This window comes from Homo sapiens, chromosome 3 (assembly GCF_000001405.40).
Source record: "Homo sapiens chromosome 3, GRCh38.p14 Primary Assembly".
Classification (NCBI taxonomy): domain Eukaryota; kingdom Metazoa; phylum Chordata; class Mammalia; order Primates; family Hominidae; genus Homo; species Homo sapiens.
The window spans coordinates 126,713,820-126,738,703 of NC_000003.12; the positions used below are offsets into that span (position 1 = coordinate 126,713,820).

At 46.4% G+C, this 24,884-nt stretch overlaps 1 protein-coding gene across 2 annotated transcripts in view; it reads left to right on the forward strand.

The window, feature by feature from the left end:
* The window catches only part of CHCHD6 (coiled-coil-helix-coiled-coil-helix domain containing 6), a 256,181-nt gene that overhangs the window by 9,580 nt on the left and 221,717 nt on the right, over positions 1 to 24,884 (forward strand). For both annotated transcript variants that reach the window (NM_001320610.2, NM_032343.3), the window contains exons 2-4: positions 13,259 to 13,367; positions 16,742 to 16,811; positions 19,259 to 19,403. In NM_001320610.2, the coding sequence (NP_001307539.1) occupies positions 13,259 to 13,367; positions 16,742 to 16,811; positions 19,259 to 19,403 (324 nt within the window). The remainder of the gene's footprint in view (positions 1 to 13,258; positions 13,368 to 16,741; positions 16,812 to 19,258; positions 19,404 to 24,884) is intronic.

Below are 24,884 nucleotides of genomic sequence, written 5' to 3' on the forward strand. Positions count from 1 at the left end.
TATTAATTGATTTTAAGTAATTGCCACCATTTAAAAGTTGGGAGGCTTTAGATCGAGACCATCCTGTCTAATATGGTGAAACCCTGTCTCTACTAAAAATACAAAAAGTTAGCCGGGCATGGTGGTGGGTGCCTGTAGTCCCAGCTACTTGGGAGGCTGAGGCAGGAGAATGGCATGAACCTGGGAGGCGGAGCTTGCAGTGAGCTGAGATCGCACCACTGCACTCCAGCCTGGGCGACAGAGCCAGACTGCATCTCAAAAAAAAAAAAAAAAAAAAAAAAAAAGTTGGGAGGCTTTACATAAAATTTATTTTTAGCTTTTTTGGGGGAACAAATGGAAAGTCTGCCATTCTTGTGTGACAACACTTTGCTGGAGTTGCAAAGTGGCTACACTCTTCAGGTGGCTGTGCAGTCTCATTACAGTTACACCATGGTATCCTTGCATGGTGCTTTATAAATTTTATTTTTTAAAATCAGGCTTGTTTTATTTGTTTCCACCACCTGTCCGACTCCTGTGGGCATTTGTGTGTGCCATGCTTGGTGTAGGAGGTCTCCGAGGGCTCTTCTTGTTCTGCCTTTCTGGGATTGACATCTGTGGTGAGCAGCCGGTGCATCTAATTTCAGCTCATAGAAAACTGAAGAGCTAGGGAACAAAATCTCCAAGGCAACAGCCTTAGGCAAGGGGGTGATCTTCTTCGGATCACGGGGTTGGGCAACACCTCTACAGAGACTGGGGTGTCGGGCATCGGGGTGTTGGCACCAGGAGCTGACAGGCTGAGCCTCCTGGAAGCCTGTCCTTCTGAAACTGGCCACATCGGCACTGTCCTGGTGCTAGGCCTGCCCTAGCCCACCCTGCCTGCCTGCTGTAGGCCTGAGCTGATTTTATCTCTTCCTCGTTTTCCAGTGCCTAGCACCCAGCAGGCCCTAGGAAAACACTGCGTTGAGTGGATGGAGCATGGCTGCGTAGGCCTGTCTCGGCTGCTGACCCACTGTATAACTTTGGGAAGTCACTCTCTGCAGCTCACTCTCTTCATCCTCAGAGTGAGGACGATGACACCGCTCCTGCCTGTGATGCCTCACTTTGTGAACTGTGTGAACTTTCAATGCAAAGACTAATGCTTAAACTGCCTCCCCATTGCGCCTTCCCAAATGTGCCTAGGTAGTTAACATTTTTAAGGCTAAAAACATACTCATTTTCATATTGACATTCGACTAGTTTTTAAAGTAGGTTGTCTGTTTTGTGGGTATACGGATGCTCTGCCCGTCCATCTCCCTGGGGCTCCATAAAGCAGTCGGTGGAGGAAGTGGGAACTGCAAATCATTCTATTGTTTCCCAGTCTTCCCTTCTATGAAAAGGGTTACTTGTCACCTCAGAGCAGCTCCATGTTACTGCCTTTACTTGTGCAGGGGTCCCTGTTAAGTGTCCAGGGTTTGGATTTGAGTCATTACCCTAGCACTTCCCACGTTCCACCTCCCTGACTCAGTTTCTTCATCTGTAAAGTGGCGATCGCTGCACAGGGACTGCCCTTACCTGGAGCCTGGCATATGGAGTATGCTCTAGGAACGGCAAGTCAGGGTCGTTTTTGTCATTAGCCTTAAATAGGCACCCTTATCATCAGTCTTGGGTTGCAGTCTTCTCTTCTAGCCATGAGCTTTGCTGCCTGCCTCTGGAGTGTGGGGAAATTACATTCTTACCTGGCCTGCCCCTAGGCTCTTGTATGCCTGGGATTCCCTAACATCTTTCTAGAGAGGTAGCCTCTTGTAGCTTCCTGTGCAACCTGTTTGCCTGTGGAACAGAGCTGCATGGATGGACTTGGAACATGACACACCCACACAGAGATCAATAATGTGGCTCAATAATGATGCCTGCCTCTTTCCCACGAGCCATACTCAGGGCCTTGCTATCAGTTTTCCCTCATCCCTGTTACTTTAGGAGTTTTTCTTCTTGTGGAGTGCATCTTATTTTTAAATGCCAGCTGGTCACAATTTCTCATGAATCCTTTCAGAGTTTTCCCAAGGCCGTGGATACAAGTGCACTCTTTCCTTTCTGCAAGTACAAATGAGATCACGCTATTCCGTCCATTCCCTTTTCCTCTTACCTGCGCATTCAGTCAGATGGTCTGAAATAGTTTCACTTCCTTGGCGTCTTTTGTAACCATCCCCTCCCTGTCACTGCTTCAGTTGTCACACTTCTCAGTGCTCCTCCTCCTGATTTGCACTGTTGTGGTGGTTTCCCTGCTACCAGCCCCTTCGTGATTTCAGTCCCTCCTCCTGCTTTGCCAGACCTTCCTGTGCAAAGAGAAGACTGACCACATCCCTGCTTATAGCCTTCACTGACTCCCAGTTCCAGCTTCCTTGGTTTGCCATCCAAGGCTCTCAACAGGTGGCACTCCAGCAACTCCTCACACCTGATGTTTTCACGTCCCTGCCAGACTGAGCCGTGGTGCTCCTTGGAGCTCCCTCCCTTCCGTGCCTTTGCTCATGCCACACCTCTCTCTGGAACGCCACCTTCTGCTCACACCCCTTCTCTGCTGTCATCCCTTCAGGCCCAATTCAGGCCATCTCCCTTCTAGCTGGAACTCGGAGTTCCATTGTTGAACCTCCTGGGCCCTTAGGAGGGCCGCTGGTATCCACTGCTCAGTGGCTTGTCTTCTCTCCCTCTGTATCTGTCTCCTCCACCCTGCTTGACCATGAGCTCTTTGAGTAGAAGGGTCATGGATGTCATATCTTTATATACTCCATCATGCTAGTACCATGTTATGGACCCAGGCCTCTAATAAATATTTAATTCATGTGGTTCACAAACATTTGAGTGTCTCCGGTGTGCTAAGCCCTGAAGATACAGCAGGAGCATCATGGAATCCCTGCGCCTGTGGAGCCACTGTGCTGTTGGAGTGAAGACAAAAAAGTGCTTGGGGTCTGTTGTGCCCGGAGGTCATAAGTGCTGCAAAGAAAGCAAAGCAGAGTAAGGGGAGGGACGGTGCTGGCAGGGGTGGGGTTGATAGGGGGGCTGGTTCCAGACAGGGGAGTCGGGGAAATGCGTGCAGTCCCCTTTGAGGCTGAGCCTGCTGGGAGTCAGTTGGTTCCCTGGCCTTTCTACAGCAATCTTGGCCCCTCTTTTTATCGCTTTAGCTTCTGTAGTGGTTGTCCTTTCTAGGGGCCTGAGTGCTGCTTAGCAGGTGCATCTCCCCTTGCTCTTGCTGTTGGGGTGGCAGCCTGCTGCCTTCAAAGCAGAGCAGCACAGCAGTTAAGCACGCAGGCCGGGGTCAGGCGGCTTTCCCTGCAGTCAGGCTTTGGTCCTGTGGCTTCATGGACTGGGCAAGTTCTTTAACCTCTCTCTACCTTGGTTTTCTCAAGTAGAAGGTGGGTGTGGCATTGTGAGGATTAGTGAGGTGGTCTGTGCACAGTGAGTGCTGGATGAAGGTTAATCAGTAGGTAGGTAGCGTTAGTAAGGTGGCACAACTCAGTTACAATCACAACTCTCATCCTCATGACCTTATATCATGACCTTATATTGGGTCAGCTGCACACTGCTCACTCCTGTCCTTGTTCATTCAGTTGTTGATAATACCTACTTGAGGTTTTTAAGATGGCACCATTCTCCTTACAACCTTTTAGTCGCGAGGTGGCCATGTGACTTACTCGTAGACCTGTATGGTTTAATAAAGAAACCCATACGGTGGCATGCACCTATAGTCCTGGCTACTCAGGAGGCTGAGGCAGGAGGATCCCTTGGGCCCAGGAGTTTGAGACCACCTGGGCAACAAAGGGAGGCCTTATCTCTAAAAAATAAAAAAAGAAATCTGTAGCCATTTGGGAACTTGCCTCTAAGTTCACAGTTGCTTTTGGGTGAGGCTGGCATTTTGGTTAGGGTCAGATTTTGGTTTCTTCCTTGGAAGGAGGTGGGATCTGGGTTCCAAATGCATTTGTTAAGGTGGAAGTGCTGAGGGGTGTGTGTGTGTGTGTGTGGCTTAGATTGAGGCTTGGGCCTCTCCCTGGCCTGGCCTTGCATTTGACTCAGACTGTCTGTGGGCCTTCACTACTCTGCACGCGTTCCCCCTCCATCACGGAGCTTGTAGGGCAAGGACTGTGGGCTGGAGAGGGGAGGAGAGAGAGTCTCTTCCTGGACTTCACTTTGTCATTAGAGTCTTATGGAGGTGCCAGCCAAGTGTGCCAGGGTAGCGGCAGGGAAGAGGCCCCTTTCCTTGGTGTCCCCCTGTTACTCCAGGGTGAGGGCAGGTTCAGGTTTGAGCCACAGGATGTCAGAGCTGGAGGGCACTTTAAAAAGAATGTGCCCAATTTAATTTTGTGTACAGTATGGACAAGCTGAGAAAAGACTTGCTCAAGGTTGCAAAGCTACATGGAGAGCACTTAGAACAGTGCTGATGGTCTGTGGCAAATGCTAACTGTTGTTATTATTGATCAACTCATGTATTTTTATGTACCCAATATGTGCCTGGTATGGATTATAATTAATATTTGTGTAGCACTTTGCAGTTTTCACTTAATAGCTAATATCAATTGTTTACATTGTACCAACTGCTTTGTGTAGATTGCTTCATTTAATCCTGGAAATCACTGTAGAGTCTGTACCATTAATTCTTTCCATTTAACAGATGAGGAAACTGACTTAGAGCTAAGAAGTCCCCTGGCCAAGGTCACACAGCTGGTATGCAGCTTAGCTGGGATTCAAACCTGGGCTGGTCTGACTGCAAAGCACTGAGTTCCTGAGCTGCGCAGCAGCCAGGCCAGCCTTGAGGGAGGCTCCATTTCCTAGGTGAGGACAGTGACGCTCAGAGAAGCTAAAGAATTGGGGCAGCACCACGCAGCTGGAGGGTGGGCAGAGCTCCTCCTCCCCTGTACTGCTCTATATTAGCCCTCTGTCCATTGACCACACAGGACCTCCTGGCCAGCTCTGATGGCACTGTGACCAGCGGGCCGTGGCATCAAGCACGCAGCCCCGTCTGGCTCCGGAGGCCTCCCCTCTGGTTCTGTTGGTGCAGGGACCACTGCCCAGATGGTGTTTATTCTCACATGACTGCTGTGTGTGTATGTATATTTGTTGATTAAAAATATTACTTGCTGTATTTTGTGGCAACATAAAAAAAATTACAACTCTCTTAGTGCCAACAAGAATCTTGCCAATGTTTTCATTAACCTCTTACAAACCAAGTCGTGTGGTTCCATTCCTGCCCCCTGGGGTTGCAGCTGACAAATCTTAGCCTCCCACTCACCTGTGCAGAACCCCCGCAGTGACCTCCTCGTGCCCTCAGATCAGATGTGAATGCTTTACCCTGGTTGGCCAGGGCTCATACGGTCTAGCCTGTGCCTGCCCCTCTGGCTTGATCGTCTGGTCCCTTTCTTTTAATTCACTGTCCTCTGGCCTGCCGGCCTTCTGTGGGGCCCTCGGACATGCCAGACTCAGTCCTTCTCAGAGACTGTGCTTCTCCCCTCTCCTGGAACTAGGTTTCAGGATGTACATGTGGTTGAGCATCTCATCGCTGGGCGGGCGTCTTAACAGGAATGTCACGGCTAAGCAGGCTTCCCTAGTGCATGCGGCTTCTTGCCCCCCCTGCCCTGCATGCTGCCATCACTTTATGATAGCCGTTTCTTCTTTCATAGATAGCACCAATCACTAGTGCACCCCATTGGTTCTTCAGCATACATTTAAGCATTTCTGAAGTGGGGATGTTGTGTATGATAGGATGTTGTGTATGATAGGAGGAATGTTAATTTCACTAGGGTTTTTGTCTTTCATCAGGCCATGTAAAATAATGGTAAGGTTTACAGTTGCTGGTGTCCTGGCTTAGGTGAGGGAGGACATGGGAAACAGTGTGTTTACTGGGTATCGTTTCTCACCTGCCATCCGAATGTGAGCTCCAGAAACTGAGGGACTGTGTCACTCCCTTTCAGTGCTGTTGCTCACTGCTTCTAGCGCATTGCCATCACAGTGAGTGCCTCATAAAGAGGGACAGTGGGCCGTGGTTACCGCTCCCTTGTCTGTTTGCCTCTGGATGGGGTGCTTCCTCTGCTCCTTGCCTGGGCTGCACTATCAGAGTCTTCTTTTTTTTTTTAATTTGAGACAGAGTTTCACTCTTGTTGCCCAGACTGGAGTGCAATGGCGTGATCTCAGCTTACTGCAACCTCCACCTCCTGGGGTCAAATGATTCTCCTGCCTCAGCCTCTTGAGTAGCTGGGATTACAGGTGCCCGCCACCACGCCAGGCTAATTTTTGTATTTTTAGTAGAGACGTGGGTTTCACCATGTTGACCAGGCTGGTCTTGAACTCCTGACCTCAGGTGATCCACCTGCCTCGGCCTCCCAAAGAGCTGAGATTGGAGGCGTGAGCCACTGCACCCAGCCAAGAGTCTTTTGCATGACAGGGCCTGGTCTTCCTGGTCACGCAGCCCTTTTCCATGGTGTGGATTAGGACATCGTCAGCTGTGACTGCCACTGTCATGTAGATCACACCTGTCATGGTTGCCTCATCCTCATCCACATAGATCCCAGGACCCCTGAGGTTCATTCCTCACTGCTGACCTCCCTCAGGACACCCAACCGGGGCTTCTAGTCCCTCAGGGGCCTGGTGCATTCCCACAGGGTCCACTCTGAAATGGGGGGTGCTGTCCAGTCGTGTGCTGGTAAATTTCTAACTGGCTCTGCCCTTCACCTCCCTCAAAGGGCCTGGTTTGTAGCACTGGCCAGTTTCTATGGTGGATATACCATTGTAGCCAATTCCAAACTGCTGTCATGAAGTCAACCAGCACATGTTTCCTGAAAATTTAAAAATGAGCTCTTAGCCAGTTTCAGCCACCATTTGGATGCCCAGATCTTTTTGTTCAGCCTGTGTTCCCTGAAGTGCTGGCTTCAGGAAGTTCTCTGAAGTGTTCCCTCTTGAGTGCTGGCTCCGTGTCCCCACCTATGGAGAAAGATGTTCCACGTTGCTCCTGCTGTCACTTCGCACCCAGCCTGGTGTCCTGTTTCCACCCTCAGCATGTGGCTAAGTGCTTACTGGGGACTTGGGGCTTTAGATGTTTCTCCTCATTCTCCCATACACTGACTCACTCAGGGTCTTAGTTGCTACAGCCGCAAAAAAGGAGCAAATGGGCAAACTTGGGAAGGTTTCTCCCTTTTACAATGTGGGATTTTTGTATTTACCTACAATCAAACGGATCTGCTGCCTTCTTAGAATAATTTTCTTAATTTCCTCCCTTTCTTTGTCATTCTCACGCAAATTATTCCACGAACTTGAGATCAAAACTCCTTTTCTTCAACTCTGTGCTCTCGTTCATTCCCTGCAGTCAGGGCAGCCACCAGACGAGCCTTTCATCCCACCTCCCACGCAGGCCGTGGTGATGTTTCCTTGCTCACAAACTTTCAGCGTCTCCTCGGGATGGTTGGACCTCTCCCTTTGCCTGACTTCCAAGCTTCCTTCTGTGCTGGCTTCATCCAAGTCCTTCCACCCCACGCCTTCCAAAGTGAACCTATGGCGGCAGGCGCACGGTCTCTTCCTGTCTGTGCCTCTTCCCCGGTGCCCTGCCCTAGGCTATGAAGCTTCTGCCTTCTGCAGACATCGCTGCCGTCCCGCCCATGGGATGGAGCTTCTCCTGTGTCTAAGTCTGCGCCTGCCTTAGGGAACCCATCCCTCTCTTGGCTGCTTCCGGCCACTGGAATCCCTCCTTGTGCTGTTCTCATTGACTTCCTGTCTGGGCTGCTTCTCTTTGTTTTTGGTGTTCTCTCCCTTTTTATTTGTAACAGCTTTATTGAGATGTGATTCACATGCTGTACAATACATCCATTTAAGGCATGTGATTTAATAGTTTTTAGTGTATTCACAGGTATGTGTGACCATTGCCACAATCATTTTTAGAACATTTTCATCACCCCCACCCCCCACCCTCCCCACCAAATCCTACTTACCCTGTAGCTATCAGTCCCCACCCCGGTCCCTGCATTTCCCCAAGCCCAAGGCAGTCACGAATCTACTTTTGTGTCTAGAGATTTGCCTGTTGTGGAATACGCCACACAGTGTGGCCTTTTGGGTCTGACTCCTTTCACTTAGCGTAGTGCTTTCAAGGTTTCTCCATGTTATAATGTGTCAGTAGTTCATTCCCTTTTATGGCTGAATAATACTCCATTGTATAGATATACTTCATTTTACTTATCCATTCATTGGTTGATGAACATTTGGGTCCTTTCCATTTTTTGGCTATTACAGATAATGCTGATGTGAACACATGTTTTCATTTGTCTTTGGTGTACAATGAGAAGTGGAATTGCCATATCAAGTGGTAACTCTCCATATCCTCGCAAATACTTATTATAATTTGACTTTAAAAATTTATTTATTTATTTAGAAACAGAGCCTCACCTGTTGTCCAGGCTGGAGTGCAGTGGCACAGTCATAGCTCGCTGTAACCATGACTTCCTGGGCTCAAGCAATCCTTTTGCCTCAGCCTCCCAAGAAGCTAGGACTGTAGGCATGTGGCACCACACCTGGCTAATTAAAAAAAAATTTTTGTTTTTTAGAGAAAGGGCCTCACTGTGTTGCCCAGGCTGGTCTCAAACTCCTGGTCTCAAGTGATCCTTTTGCCTCGGCCCTCCAAAATGCTAAGATTACAGATGCGAGCCACTATGGCTGACCCTTACACGTTGACCTTTTAATTATAGCCATCCTCGTGGGTGTGATGTGGTACCTTATTGTGGTTTAAACCCGTGTTTCTCTAGAGACTAATGATGTTGAGCATCTTTTCCTGTGCTTATTGACCATTTGTATATCTTCTTTGGAAAAATTTCTATTTAGATCCTTTGCCCATTTTTAAGTAGGATTATTTTTCATTTTATTATTCAATTCTGGAAGGTGTTTATATGTTTTAGATAAAAGTTCCTTATCAGGTATATGATTTGTACATATTTTCTCCCATTCTGTGGGTTGTCTTTTCAGTTGCCCTATGGTGTCATTTGGTACTCAAAACTTTAAAATTTTGAAAAAGTCCAATTATTTATTTATTTCTTTCATTGCTCATGCTTTTGGTGTCATCTCTAAGAACGTATTGCCAAAGCCAAGGTCATAATGATTTAGCCCTCTGTTTTCTAATAAGAGTTTTATAGTTTTAGCTCTTAATGTTTAGGTCTCGGATCTGTTTTGTATTAATTCTTGTATATGGTGTAAGGTAGGTGTGCAACTATATTATTTTGCAAGGGATATCCAGTTGTCCCAGCATCATTGGTTGAAGAGACCGCTCTTTCCCCACTGAACCATCTTGGCACCCTTGTTGAAATCAACTGACCATAGAGATAAAGGTTTCTTTATGGCCTCCTTATTCCCTTCCATTGATATGTTTGGTCTTCTCTTGTCATATGTCATTAACTAGTTATTTGATTGTATATATCTTAAATACTACAGGGACTCTATTATTATTATTATTATTACAATCTTTTGTTACTAAGGAAATGTTCATGGTAAAAAAATTAAGATGCAAAAGTTCCAAAAGTGAAAATCCTGCCCCAGCTGCTCCTGTCCCCACTTTCAGGACCTCATCCTCTGAGTACTTTGCTAAGCAGTTTTGTAGATTTCTCCTTGGAGCAGATCTGTATATGTGTCTTATGTGCATGCATGTGAAATCCAAATGCAGTTCACACTTGCGGATATGTGTATATGCATATATTCAAATTCAGCAACATTTATATTTGTATGTCTGCATTTTTTTTTGCAAAATTGAGATGTGCAAAAAATTCTATGACTTTTTAAACAATCAGCAGTATATCTCATGTGTTTTCCGTGACAGTGTATGTGTATTCTACCTTGTTCTTTCTTAATGGTTCCATAAAATTCTATAGGATGTATATGCCGAAATTTTCTCAGTCAGTTCTCTATCTGTTGGATGTTTATGTGATTTCCTTTTCTTTTTTCCCTATTTCCTCCGGTGTCACAGTGAGTGTCCTTCCACATGCCTCTGTGTACATGGGGGAGTAGTTTTCTCAGTGAGATATTCTGGAAGTGGAGTTGCTGATCATGTCTTTTGTCTTACAGTAATTTTTAATGTCTTTCCCTCCGCTGTGTTTTATGATGCCTTGCACATATTAGGCACTTAATAAATATTTACTAAAGTGAACTCTTAAGGATTTTTATCCTGGATTGATCCCCAGCTTGCTGTTTCATCTCAGTAAACTGTTTTATGACACCCTTAGGCCTATTTCACATCCTCTAAATGAATGAGAGTTTTGGTTATCCAGTCTTCATTAGGGGAACTGAGGTGAAATTAGTCAAGCAGTATTTGATTATCTACTGTATGTGTGGCACTGGAGGTGTACAGAGATGAGTGAGATTCAGGCTTAGCCCTCAAGGTATTTAAAAACCATCAGGATAGGCAGGCAGGAGGTGTAGTACTTCTCTGAGAAGCACATGTGTGTTGTCAGGGGGCTCAGAGGAAGGGAAAAGGTGATACTGGCACACCTGGGAGATGGTGCAGACGTGGCTCCAGATACCACAGTACAGTGGACATCAAAATAAAGCAAATCATGAACTTTTTGGTTTCCTAGTGTATATAAGAGTTGTGTTTACACTATATTGTAGTCTCAAGTGTACACTAACATTATGCCTAAAAAGTGTATATACCTTAATTAGAAATACTTTATTGGCAAAATATGCTAATGATCATCTGAGCCTTTAGTGAGTCATAATCTTTTTGCTGGTGGGGGGTCTTGCCTCCTTGTTGATGGCTGCTGACTGATCAGGATGGTGGTTGGCTGTGGCAGTTTTGTAAAATAAGACAACAATGAAGTTTGCCACATCGATCAACTCTTCCTTTCACAAAAGATTTCTCTGTAGCATACGATGCTGTTTGATAGCATTTAACCCATAGTGGAGCTCCTTTCAAGATCGGAGTCAGTTCTCTAAAACCCTGCTGCTACTCTATCAACTAAGTTTATGATCCTATTCTAAATCCTTTGTTGTCATTTCAGCAGTGTTCACAGCATCTTCACCAGGAGCAGATTCCATCTCAAGAAACCACTTTCTTTCCTCATCCATAAGAAGCAACTCCTCATCTGTTCAAATTTGATCCTGAGATTGCAGCAATTCAGTCACATCCTCAGGCTCCACTTCTAATTCTACTTCTCTTGCTGTTTCCACAACATCTGCAGTGACTTCTCCATTGAAGTCTTGAACCCCTCAGAGTCATCCATGAGGGTTGGAATCTACTTCTTTTAGACTCCTATTAATATTGATTTTTTGACCTCTTCCCATGAATCATGAATGTTCTTAATGGCATCAGAATAGTGAGTCCTTTCCTTGGAGTTCTCAGTTTACTTTTCCCAGGTCCATCAGAGGAGTCACTATGTATGGCAGCTCTAAGCTTATAAATGAATTTCTTAAATAATAAGACTTGAAAGTAAAAATTACTCCTTGATCCATGGGCTACAGAATGGATGCTGTGTTAGGAGGCATGAAAATAACATTCATCTTGTACATCTCCATCAGAGCTTTTGGGTGACCAGGTGCATTGTCAAGGAGCAGTAATATTTTGAATGGATTCTTTTTTGCTGAGCAGTAGGTCTCAACAGTGGGCTTAAAGTATTCAGTAAAACATGTTGTAAACAGATGTTCTGTCATCTAGACTCTGTTGTTCCATTTCTAGAGCACTGGCAGAGTAGATTGAATATCATTCTTAAAGGCCCTAGAGTTTTCAGAAGGCTAAATGAACATTGGCTTCCATTAAAAGTCACCAACTGCATTACCCCCTAACAAGAGAGTCAGCCTGTCCTTTGAAGGTTTGAAGCCAGGCATTGATTTCTCCCCTCTAGCTATGAAAGTCTTAGATGGCATCTTTTCCCAGTAGAAGACTGTTCTGTTTAGTATTGCTACCTTCATCAATGATCTTACATAGATCTTCTGGATAACTTGCTGCAGCCTCTCCATCAGCACTTGCTGCTTCACCTTGCACTTTTATGTTATGGAGATGGTGTCTTTACTTAAGTCTTATGAACCAACCTTGGCTCACTTCAGTCTTTTCTTCTGCAGCTTCCTCACCTCTCTCAGCCTTGACTGAATTGAAAAGAGAGAGAGCCTTGGGCTTGATTAGGCTTTTGCTTAAGGGAATACGGTGGCTGGTTTGATCTTCTATCCAGACCACTAAAACTTTTTCCATATCAGCAGTGAGTCCGTTTCACTTTCTTACCATTCATGTGTTCACAGGAGTAGCACATGTAACTTCTTTCAACAACTTTTCCTAACTTGGCTAACTGTTAGGTGCAACAGGCCTAGCTCTCGGCCTATCTTAGCTTTCGACATGCCTTCCTCACTAAGCTTAATCATTTGTAGTTTTTAATTTAAAGTGAGAGACATGGGACTTTTCATTTGAACACTTAGAGGCCATTGCAGGGTTATTAATTGGCCTAATTTTGTTGTGTCTCAGGGGATAGAAAGGCCCAAGGAGAGGGAGAGAGACAGGGGTCGGGGAATGGCTCATTGCTGGAGCCATCAGAACACAACAGCATTTATCGGTTAAGTTCGCCGTCTTACATGGACAATGTTCTCAGTGTCCCAAAACAATTACAAGAGTAACATGAAATGTCACTGATCACAGATCACTGTAACAGATATAACAATGAAAAAGCTTCAAGTATCATGAGAATTATCAAAACATGACTGAGAGACACAAAGTACATGCTGTTGGAAAGACAGCACCAGTAGACTTGCCTGATGCAGGCTTGCCACAGACCTTCAACTTGTAAAAAAAAAAATGTGTTATCTGCAAAGTGGAATAAAGAGAAATGTGATAGAAGGAGGTACCTGTGCTTCACTTGCATGCTGTCGAGGAGCAGCCTTCCCTGGAGAAGGGGACATTGAGATACCTCCAAAGAAAGGATATGATTTGGATGGGTGGAGATGTCCCAGAGAGGGAGGTGGTGGGCTGGAGGTGGTTCAGAGGGAAGAGCATGCCTGAATTCAGAAGAGGTGAGAAAAGTGAGACATCAGGTTCCCCTGAGGACTGGGTGTGTGGAGGGAAGTGGTGGGGGTAAAGCCGCAAAGCCAGCAGGGGACATATATTGGTAGGCTTGGGAATCCGGATGGGCTCAGCATGGACCTGGTAGGCACTGGGCCACCACGAGAGGAGTTTTAGTAGAATTGCTTTGTTGGAGTTGGTCTTGAGGAAGCAGCGCATTCAGTAAATCTGGGGCCTGAATAAAGAGGAGGCTTTGCTTCCAGGCACTTCTGTGACATAACTTTTTCTTTTCCCTCTTTTCTGCTTCCTTAGCTGTCTGAAAACGTGGTGAACCGCATGAAGGAGCCCAGCTCTCCACCCCCTGCTCCCACATCTTCTACCTTTGGCCTTCAAGATGGCAACTTGAGAGCCCCTCACAAAGGTATGGGGATTGTGACAGTTCTGTGGAGTGTGGAGAGACAGTGAAAGGAGTGATGGGTGCTCACCCGAGCCCACCTGATGGCGCACAGGGCTCAGGTTGGCTTCTGGATGACGTTAAGCAGCTCTGTCTGGTAAGGGCTTTCCGGAAGAGCATGGCTTTCTGGGAGTGATGGGGCTGTCATCAGAGCTGCCGGGATTCGGGTCGGACCACCTTCCCTCTGTGCCACTTTCTCCATGTGGGAATTGAGGCAGAAGGACCTGAGTTGACAGCTCAGGAAAGAAGTTGCCTTTAAGGCTCCTCAGAGGCGGCATAGCCATGACTCAGCTTCAGCCACTCTAGCCTAACTCCCAAGTCAAAGAATGATGTGGATTCACGTGAACAGGGCCAAGTATAGGAGAATTCCGTCAGTGATTTAGGCGCCTACCGCAGCAGCCCTCACCTGAGCCTCAGGCCGAGAGCTCCTGTCCTGGCCCTTGGAATGGTTCCCTCTGGGCTTCTAGGAGGGGTCCTAGGAGTTCCTCTTCCTGGCCCACTGTGAAGCTGGTGCTCAAGCCGGGCTCAAAGCTGATTTGTTCCCTACTGTATTGTGCGTGTTGCAAATGAAGAAATTTGTGCTTTCCCCAAATAACGACTTGTAGCAAACACAAGGAAATAAAATTTTAAGGAAAAAAGTTCTAAGGCATACAAATGTTAAAATATTACAAAATAAAAAAGTCCTTGGAGCAACTGCTCAAAACATACTTGTTTTTGAGAACTTGGGTCTGTCTATCAGATTCCGTAACTCAATTAAAAAAAAAAAAAGATTGGCTGGAGGCAGCATGCCACCACGGAAGGACCGACTGTTCAGGTGGATAACCACCCACTAGATTGTTCTTCTTGGGCCTGGTCTCGCGTTACAGTTGCCTTTTCTACTCATCTTCCCTGTTGGGTTGAAAGAGTTTAGAATATGAGAGCTGTATCCTGCCCACTTAGTGTTTACTGAAGGCCACCCAGAACCAAGTCCTGTGCCCTGTGCCAAGACACAGTGATAGGTGGGCAGGGACCCTCTCTCATGGCACACCTGGCTCTGGTTATGGAGACTGATGAGTTATGTGTCATGTTGTGATGCAACACTGGAATCTGTACCAGGCTCACGGGAGAAGAGGGACTGTGAAAGGCAGGAGGAATGGTGGTGGGTGGGCACTGCGAATGGGCAGATTGCAGGAGCGGAGGTCCGGCGACAGGGTGCATCCCAGCCTGCTCGGGGGCCTAGAAGCATTGCCCAGGAGCCAGTCAGCACCTGGATTTGGACCCACCCCAAGATCTTTCTGAATATCTACCACTGTAGGGGATGTGTGAGATTCCCGAAAACCCTCCAAGAAGCCCTTGTCCTTTACTAATAGGGCTCACTTACTCCCCACGCTGGCTCTAACTAACTGATGAGAAGGGCTTAAGAGGAGTCTAACTTGACCCAATGCACTTTAACAAACTGGATTAACTCGAAAGAGGGAGAAAGTGATGATAAAAGCGAAAATTGCCATAATATATAATACTACACATCAGTTTCAGCTTTAGAAGAAATAAGAAGCATTTGCTTCAGTTTGGTAAGTTCCAGCAGTTTAGAAAGCAAGAACAGTGGTTCTTTTGTCACTTGGAGTTAATTATAACAAAGTACTTTGCTGTTTAAATGATAGGTGTAAGTTTTGTTTCTGAATGTTGAAGAGTCAGCATAAATGGACTGTCTTAAAGTTAACTAATTTTAAGATATTTTGTACTTTTAAAACCAGTTTTTGCTTTATTTTAGTGATGGAACAAAGTTAGAAAAAGAAATTAAAATTAAATTCTTCTCATACTATACCCCCCAAAAATGTCAGAGGAAATAAAAGATTGAAATGTATGGCTTGAAGCCATGAAAGTACAATAGAAGATAGATTTTCTACACGTCATATTAAACGAAGAAACCTTAAATTAAAAAAAATAGGAAATGTGAATATAAGAAATTAGACAATTTAGAAAAGAAGTAACAGGAATGGATAAGTTAGGGAAAATATAACATTTGACAAAGTCCTAGTAATCTTAATATGTAGCGAGTTCTTAAAGATCTTTAAGAAAGACAACTCAGTAGGAAATGTGCACAGATGGCCATACTCATGACAGGATCTCCACGTCACTAATACTGAAAGAAACACATGTTCAACAATGTGCACTCCAAGGGAGCGGGGAGCGGGCAGGGGCACACAGAAAGGGCAGTGAGGATGAGTGCCACATGCTCTACATTGGCAGCCCCGTTATTTTTGTAGTTAAAAAATGGAAAATTATATAAAAAGCAAAAATACCAGACATTAAACCTCAGTAAAGCTCTTCAGACAAATAAATAAGCATGGCGAGCACTAGTGTGGAGATGAAACCCCGCAGCAGGCTCCTGAGTTCACCTCAGTTGAGAACCTGGTGTGTTGCTGAGGAGCATGGGAGGTGCTCTCCTCCCATGAGAGGTGGTTTGAAAGTGCGAGTAGTCACAGCTGATGCTTTCAGAAGTGCCCCCCGAAGGATCCCTGACGGGTCTGGGGTGGAGTCGCACACCCTCATTGAGCGCCTCACACAGCCTGGTTCTTATGTTATGCTCTATGTGGTTCTGGCTGCTGGTGCATAGAACCCTGTGGTGGAGGGAGGTGTGGGACATCGGAGAAGGCCAAGAAAGGTGGTGAGCTTTGGCTGACAGAGAGCTTTGGAAGGGTAAAGGCTGGGGACAGGGTAGTAACAAAACCTTCAGTATCAGCAAGTGGTGGGGAGAGTGAATTGGATTTGCTCAGAAATCCCGAAATTCGTGATGATCAAAAGGGACCTACTGTAACAACAAAAAGAGCCCAATAATACTAAAGGCGATAGTGGTTAAGTAGAATTAGGTTTAATATGGGGCATTTGCCACAGTGAGGATTGTGCAGACTCAGGTGGGTACTAAGGGAAACAAGATTTAAAGAGCCCCCACCCCTTCCCTTCCCTATGCCAAAACCTCTACCCGGGAGGTTGTCCTCATGAAGCAAAGCAATACCTTCCCGCAGCCACTCCTGGCCTGTGCTTAGGAGATGACCTGGATTCCAAATAATTGTCAGGAGAGTAGGGATGGGTTTGGAACACTGCACCCAGTGTTGTGGGCATCCTGGTGCAGAGACCCCTTCGGGATAAGAGGTGGCTTGGATCATCTGGCTTTCCAGACAGCTTGAATCAAGGGTGTTCCTTGTCTGCCCCTGTGGACGCTCCTTTGTGGGGACACATCTGTGATGCTGCCTTCCAAGGGGCACATTCATTCATGGGGGTCATTCCTCTCTGGGTGACCTCTGTGACTTCGTGGACCCTGGGGTGCCACTGACAGGCCCTTTCTTCTCTTTCCTTTGCAGAATCCACACTGCCCAGGTCGGGGAGCAGTGGTGGCCAGCAGCCCTCAGGGATGAAGGAGGGTGTCAAGAGGTGAGCCCGAGAGCCTGCTTGCTCCCGGCACTGCGCTCCGCCTAAAAGCCTCTTTCCTCACTGGGTACCCCTCTCCTTGCCTGAAGCCCTGGAGGCTTTGTCTCACATAATTAATCTCAGTTGCATTGAAGGACAACCCTATGGTATAGGTATCACTGGTCCTAGTTTAAAGATGTAGAAACACCAAAAGGGGCATAGGGGAATTGATTGTTAATGTTCCTCATGCCCAGCAGTTTGAGAGGCCAAGGCAGGAGGGTTGCTTGAGGCCAGGAGTTTGAGACCAGCCTGGGCAACATAGCAAGACCCTGTCTCTAAAAGATAAAAAATTAGCTGGGGGTGGTGGTGTGTGCCTGTGTAGTCCCAGTTACTCGGGAGGCTGAGGTGGAAGAATCACTTGAGTTCAGGAAGCTGAGGCTGCAGGGAGCTGTGATTGCACCACTGAACTCCAGCCTTGGTGACCCTGTCTCTAAAAAAAAAAAAAAAAAAAAAAAAAAAATCATTTAAAAAAGCTAGGACTAAACAGTTGAGTGGCTGGAACTTCTGCATGTGTGTGCACATGCAGGCATGTTTTTAGAGAGATGAGGAAGTGGAGCCCTCCCAGTGCTAACTGTGGTTGTCCAGATGAACTGGCTCCAGGATGTTGGTAACTTTGTGAGCACAGGCCACGACCCCAAGAGCTGGCCACACCTCTGTCATGGGACCTGCTTCCTGTCGCCGGAGAAGTTTTAGCAAAGTGGTTAAGGCACAGAGGCCCCAGTGGAGCACAGGGTGGCATCTTGATCCTGCAACTTACTAGTTATGTGAACTTGAAATATCACTGCATCTAAGAAGGGCTAAGAAGAGTACTTCTTTAATTGGGATCTTGTCATGGTTAAATATGTTTATATATATCATGCACATGAGCACAGCACCTGGCCTACAGAGTTCTCAGTGGATGCTCACAGTAGTTGTTACTGATTGACCTCTTCAGCATCCTTGAGGAAATTGCCCTCAGTATGGTCAGAGGACCCAGTGGGTCAGCTTAGGGGGCCCAGTGTCAGCCATGGTTGGGCGTTTGCCCTCTAGTAGTTCAGCCATGTTGGGTCTGTTGCATAGCCATGGGTTAAGACCCACATTCTAAGATTTACTCTCCCTAATCGGTCTTAGCAAGAATAACTCACCTGGCCAGGTGTGGTGGCTCAATCCTGTAATCCCAGTGAATTTAGGAGGCTAAAGCAGGAGGATTGCTTGAAGTCAGGAGTTTGAGCCCAGTCTGGGCAACATAGTGAGACCCTGTCTCTACAAAAAAATTAAAAACGTTAACTGGGGGGTAGTAACACATGCCTGTAGTCCCAGCTGCTCAAGAGGCTGAGGTGGGAGGATTGCTTGAGCCCAGAAGTTGGAGTTTACAGTGAGTTATGATTGCACCACTGCACTCCAGCCTGGACCACATTGTGAGACCCAAAACCAAAAAAAAAAAAAAAAAAAAGAGGAAAAAAAGCCAACTATTAACCTGAACCCTGCTTTTTTGGTACTTTTAAACATTTTAAAAATGGTAAAGTAATGCCTGCTAATGAAAGATTTAGAAAATATACAAAGTGAAAAAATCACCCATAGACTCATCATCTCAAGACAACCACTGTTAATATTTTGGAGTATTTCATGTTCTTCTCCACCCAGTCCCCTCACCCCCCGTTTAGGGTTATTTTTTGAATGTCATAGATAATTTCATATCTTGCTATTTTCACTTAGTATTATAATGATTTGTCATTAGTTGCACCTGCTTTATAAGCAGTTTTATTGCTAAAAGCATTTATTGGTTCTCAGTTTTTAGATTCAACCTACAGACAAATGAAAGACTATTTTCTAGTGATGATGTCATAGATCATTATATGATCACACCATATTTTCTTTAGCTTGACCTTGATTTTGGGACATTTAGGTTGCTTGCATTTTTTTCACTACAATAAATAATACTGTTAAGAGCATCTCAGCACTAATAACTTTTTTATTCTCTATAGGATTATTTTACTAGGCAGAATGCCCAGAAATAGGTCAAAGGGTAGGAAGATATTCAGAATGAAGAGTTAAATGTTCAAAACAGAGGACTACTACCATCTCAAATCTTCAAGCTCTCAAGTGGAGGCAATCCGTGGATTGAGCCCCTCCCTGAGACTCTCACTGGGCATGGGGCTGCCTACTTGGCCAGGTCTCCTCCTGTTCCTGAGCTGTGTTGTCTTGGCTCAGTGTCATTGTCTCCTCTTGTCTGGGGAGCTGTCACTGATGCCTGAGCTTGGGTGTGGAATGATGGGGCATGCGGTTTCACAGCACTCTCTCCTTTCCTGACCAGCCGCTGGCTGGTTTCAGCATTTCCCTGGTGGCTGAAGTGAGTGCGCAGATCTTGTCTTGGCTATGGGCTGCCCGTCATGCCATCCACATCTGTTTCTCCTCATGTTTCTTCTGCACAGGTATGAACAGGAGCATGCTGCTATCCAGGATAAGCTCTTCCAGGTGGCAAAGAGGGAAAGAGAGGCTGCCACCAAGCACTCCAAGGCATCCCTGCCCACGGGCGAAGGCAGCATCAGCCATGAGGAGCAGAAGTCAGTCCGGCTGGTGAGTGCAGATTTTCCCTGATCTGGCCTTCTGAGCTGGGCAGCACCCTGGGAAATAGGGGGCGGGCCCTGGCACCTGGTTAGTCTGAAGCCCTGCTGGCTCAGGCTGCCCCTGGGATGTGCTCGGCTTCACCTCTGTGGAAAAGGGTCTTTTGGGAGCCAGGAACTGGGGTTCTCCCAGCCCTGGCTCTGTCAGTGATTTGCTTTGCTGCCTTTGGCATGTTTTTGCAGTCTCTGTGGCCTCAGGTCTACACAGTAAGGGACCAGACCACTCAACAGTCTCACTTAGCTCTGAAACTTCACAGATGTCAGGGCTGCAGTGGTATGTGTGTCAGGAGCGTGTGAGGGCAGAGGACTAGAGGCCTGGAGCCATGTAATATATGACAGGGAGGGCATCATCTTTAGAGTTAGGCAGGTTGGGTGCAAATCCTGGACACCCTGTCTGTGAGTCTTGCTTGAAGTTCGTGATGTTTACACACAGGACTGCCCAGGGAATCAGAGGAGATAGTATTTGTCCAGGACTTAGCACATGCTGGCAGACCATGGGAGTGCACTATTGTTGTTATCATTAATACATTTAAGTGATGGGTGGCTATTAGGATCTTTTTGCTTAAGTGCAGCATTTATTTTGCAACATGAGAAGTCTCAAGTGCCCCCAGGGTTGACTAATTCAGTGGCTCACTAGCATCATCATGGACCTGGTGCTTCTCTTCCTGCCACTCTGCCATCCACAGTGTGCCAGTGCATCCTAGGCAGGCTGTCCCCATGGTTAATGAAGGCTGTTACTGCCCCACAAGTCCCATGCAGACAGTAAAACCCTCAGTAGAAGAAGAGAGGCTGTGCCGACCCTTGTGTCTCTATCACAGGGATAACTTTCCTAGAAGCTCCTGGCAGAATTCCTCTTACATCACACTGGCTTGAATTGTACCAGGTGCCCATGGCTAAGCCAGTCCTCAGCAGAGGGGATACAGAGGGCTCCACTGACTGCAGCTAGGGCTCTTTTCTAGTCACATTAGGGAGGTTGCATATCCAGCTAGAATTAGGACTGACAGCAAGGAAGTTGGGGGAGGGAAGCATGGCTGTGGGCGGCATCTAATAACATCTGCTGGAGGCCATGAGGTTTGAGACCAGGAACAGCCTTGCACTACTTTAGGTGGGTAGCCTCGTACACACGGTGCTGTGTAGAAGGGGGTTGAACACGATGTGAAAGCATCATTTGGGATTGTGCTCTCCTGGGAGGCCAGACATGCTGGCTGGGCACAGGCCTTAGCTTACTAATTTGATGACTACACAAATGTTTGAAGTGTGCAGTAGGCACATAAATGCACTTTGAACCAGGCCCTCTGGGAAATACAAACAATGTAGGATCCTAGCCCTCGGGAAGTTTTAGTCTGTGGAGAAGACAAACTAAGAACTTTGAAAAAGGCCAGATTGGTTACAGTAGTTGTTAAATTGAAGAAAAGATTTGGAAATGCAAATGTATAAGCTGCTGGTGGATCAGAGCTGGTAGATCAGAGACGGCATTAAACTCAGCCTTAAGGCTGAGGGGCAGTTGGGCTGAGAGGCAGGTGTTGAGAAGGTGATCGGATCCAGTGAGAAGAGTGAGGTTTGAAGCTGGATTTTAGAAGGCCTTGGATGTGCTGAGGAGTTAACCCTCAAAGTAGCCCGCATCGATCCTGAAACAGTCAATGGTTCCTGAAGTTTGTAAGGATGGGAGTGATGAGATCTGACTTGTGCTTTTAGAACCCCATGGCATCCTGGTGAGGAATCGGTTGATGCAGTGAGAAACCGGGGCCAGGGCATGCCTTCAGAGGCTCTTGCAGTCAGTCTCTGAGAGGCAGATGGGTTGTTACCCCTCTGCAGGCAGCCTGACAACCAAGTAAGAAGGACCCCTATCCTGGAGATGACGCGTTAATCAGTATGGCATGAGCAGGAAAAGTTGGCCTCCTCTAGAGGTGGAAGATTACAACCTACAGGTCTGCTGTCTCTTCGTTCTCACCTGGAATGTATTAATTACAGTGAAAGAATTCACAGCTTCCCATTCTTACTCCTGCAAAGGAGATTGAGCGCCGCTTTCTCAGGACTATCCCTTGGGGAAGAACTTGATTCCCATCCCCCTCAGGTCTCTAGATGGATAATAATCCCCTTTTCTGAGCCAGAATTCTTAGGGAATAGTGACATAAGTTACTTCCTTCATTTTAAAAACATTTAACTACTTTCATGGGCATTCTCATTTTCTGACTGCTCAGCGTTCATTTCTCAATGCAACTGGTGTTCCAGTTTCCTTTTGGGAGTGTTCCTGTTTCCTGCTGTGTGTAGACTTGGTGGGATTGTAATTCCTCTGTGGAAGCTGGATCTGGGCACAGTGCAAGCTTAGCCAGCTTGCACCTCATGCCTGAGGACCTTCAGTTTTGAGTGAGTATAGAGGAATGGCAGGAGGCCAGGATGGGAGTTCCTCATTGTCTCTCAGGTGTTGCAGTCAGCCCCTTCATGCTATGAGGTTATATCTTTTGCCATCTCCTACACTTTCAGGGTACCATTGGTTTCTGTCTGGTCCTCCTGCCTTCTTGAGGTTTGGATCATCCATTGATGACCTGCCAGTCAACTTTCCTTTGCTTAAGTAAGCTGAAGTTGGCTTCTATTGCTTGATGCTATTGGAAAGGCATCTCCTATAGGAGGTGCTACAGAAGATGATGTTGAAGGTGTACAACCATATTCAATACTCAGTACAAACAGAGGAGAAGGGAAGATAGTACTAGGCATTGTTCTGTAAGTTAACAGATAACCAAGGCAGTCAACTAAATGCTGAGCAGATGCTATGGCCATTGCTTCTAAAGAAGGGGGGCTCCCTTTGGGTTGGTATGGTTGGGGAGTGCTTTTAGTGGAGGTAAAACTGTATTTTCAAAACTATATTCTGGAAGATTTAAATAAGAGGAGAAAGATGGAGAGAAGAACCTAACAAAAGCAGGGAAATTTTTCTTTCCTCTCCTGCATCTTCCGCATGGAAAGGTTGAAGGAGGTGGCTAGTTGGCAGCCTGCTGCGTGGAGTGCTGAAGGGACTGGTGGTGTGGCAGTGTGTGGATCACAGCACATCCTTCTAGCCCTCCAGGAGGGTTGGTCCTGAGATGGAACTTGCATGGTCGCCAGCAGAATGAGTTGTCTGCCCACTCCTCCTAGGTGCCTTCTTGGCTACCCCTGTAGCCCTCCCTGTGAACCTGTAGCCTCATCTAGAGGATTTCCTGTTGTACTGAGTGCCGCTTAATATGTAATGTGCTCTTCCACCCTGTTCACTTGCCTCTGACTTTTTCCAATATTGATTTTAAAACCCTCTTCTGCGTAAGGGATTGGTCCATCTTATTATTGGGAAAAGTTATAAAACTAATGACAAGGAAAGGTAATAATTTTTCTGACCTACTTCTGATGACAGAAGTGTTGCCCTTTCCCATCTAGTGCAGCAGTGATGAACTGTTCTGTGCGTGTCAATGTGTGTTTGCTGTCACTGGTGGTGCCCTGGTTCTGGTCTGAGTGAAGGCCATGGGTGTCACTGGATCCTGTGAGAGGTGTTTCTCCCTCTGAGTTGATGGAGAAAGTAGGAGTCCAAATCAAACATTCTGGGAAGAAATAAAAAGAACAATGCTGTTGATCTCAGTCTTCTGATGGGTGGAGTCTTAAAAATCAAATGGATGGAGTAATCAAGTCCTGGGTGAGGCTTTATTTTAGGTGAGAATGAGATTTACAACCTTGCCTGTTGCTTCCTGACACATATTATTAGGTATGTAATAACACAGTACACCTGATAGAAAGCAAAAACTTTCTTGGCTGGGCGCGGTGGCTCACACCTGTAATACCAGCACTTTGGGAGGCTAAGGTGGGTGGATCACTTGAGGTCAGGAGTTCGAGACCAGCCTGACCAACATGGTGAAACCCCATCTCCAGTAAAAATACAAAATTAGCTGGGCGTGGTGGTGCATGCCTGGAATCCCAGCTACTTGGGAGGCTGAGGCAGGAGAATCACTTGAACCTTGGAGGCGGAGGTTGCAGTGAGCTGAATCGCGCCATTGCACTCCAGCCTGGGCGACACGGTGAGATTCCATCTAAAAACCCAAGAAAGCAAAAACTTTCTTTTCTTTGTTGCTGAGCAATTCTTTTATTATTTTATGATGTGTGAGTATATATATATATATATATATATATATATGCACACAAATGCACACACACATACTCTGTATTCCTGTTATATGTTAGGCACTGGGTTAGTTTCCTAATAAATGGAAATAAGAGACAGCTTCTGACCTTGAGAAGATGTGTTTATTAGGAGAATTAAACATTCTCAGAAGTGACCACATAGCGTTGCAAGGGTCATCCCAGAGGGACAGGAAGACACTCGAGGAGCAAGGAGGCAGTACCACCTGATACTTCCTGGTAGGGTGGGAATGAATTCTAAGAGGAGGTGAAATGTGAGCTTGATCTTGAAGAATGAATAGAATTTGCCAGGTGGAGAGGAGGGAGGAAGGATGCTGCAGATAGGGGGCACTCTTGAGCAAAGGCCACGCATTTGGGGAGGATGAGGCCTTTGGCTGGATTATAGGAAGCGGCAGGGTGTGGCGGTGGGGAGGCTAGAGGGGCCCACAGTGTAGGTGCGGTTGTGGAACGACATCCTGAAAGTCTGATGGGGAGCTCTGTGGAATGGTTTTCTGAACCTCAAAAGAGATAAATAGGAGACAGCTGGACATTGATCACTAGGAAAATACTTCAGTGGCAAATCAAGAAGCTAAGGTCAAATCCTCCCACTGAAGATTTGGTAACAAGAGTGCTTCCGTCCCTGGATGTGCCCCTCTAACCTAAGGATCCCACCAGTAGAGTAGCTGTCCTGTCCTGTTCTCCTGGTGGCAGAGGACTTTTGATCTCTTACTATTTCATTCTCTTCAATGCCCAGATGCTCCAGGTAGCTGCCACCTTAGCTATGTGAACTGGATACAGTTGGCCCTCCCTGTCCACGGGTTTCCGTATCTGCAGATTCAACCCACTGTGGATCGAAGTCCACAGATACAGAGGGCTCACTGTACTATGTCGTTTTATGTAAGAGGCTTGAGCATCCACAGATTCTGGCATCTGTGGAGGGTCCTGGAACCAATACCCCGTGGCCGACTGTATCATGACTTTAAGATGTTCAAAGTTTTTGAATTGCAATTTTCTAAAATTATGAGGGAGGTGGAGGATTGATTTTGGTTTTACTACAGCTGTAGCCTTTCTAACAGTCCTCTCCTACATTTTTATTGTCTTGTTCCTCAGATTATAAACTCCTTGAGAATAAGAACTGTGGTGTGATCATTTTGGTCTTTGTAGTGCTGAGCAAATTCTAGACAGGCAGTGAATGGTGATTAAATGGCAGATCTTGAGTGGGTGAGGGTTTGGATGTGTTACTGCTTTGAAGCCCGCTGTGCAGTCGTCTGTTATCTTTCCCTCGTGATCCCATTGCAGT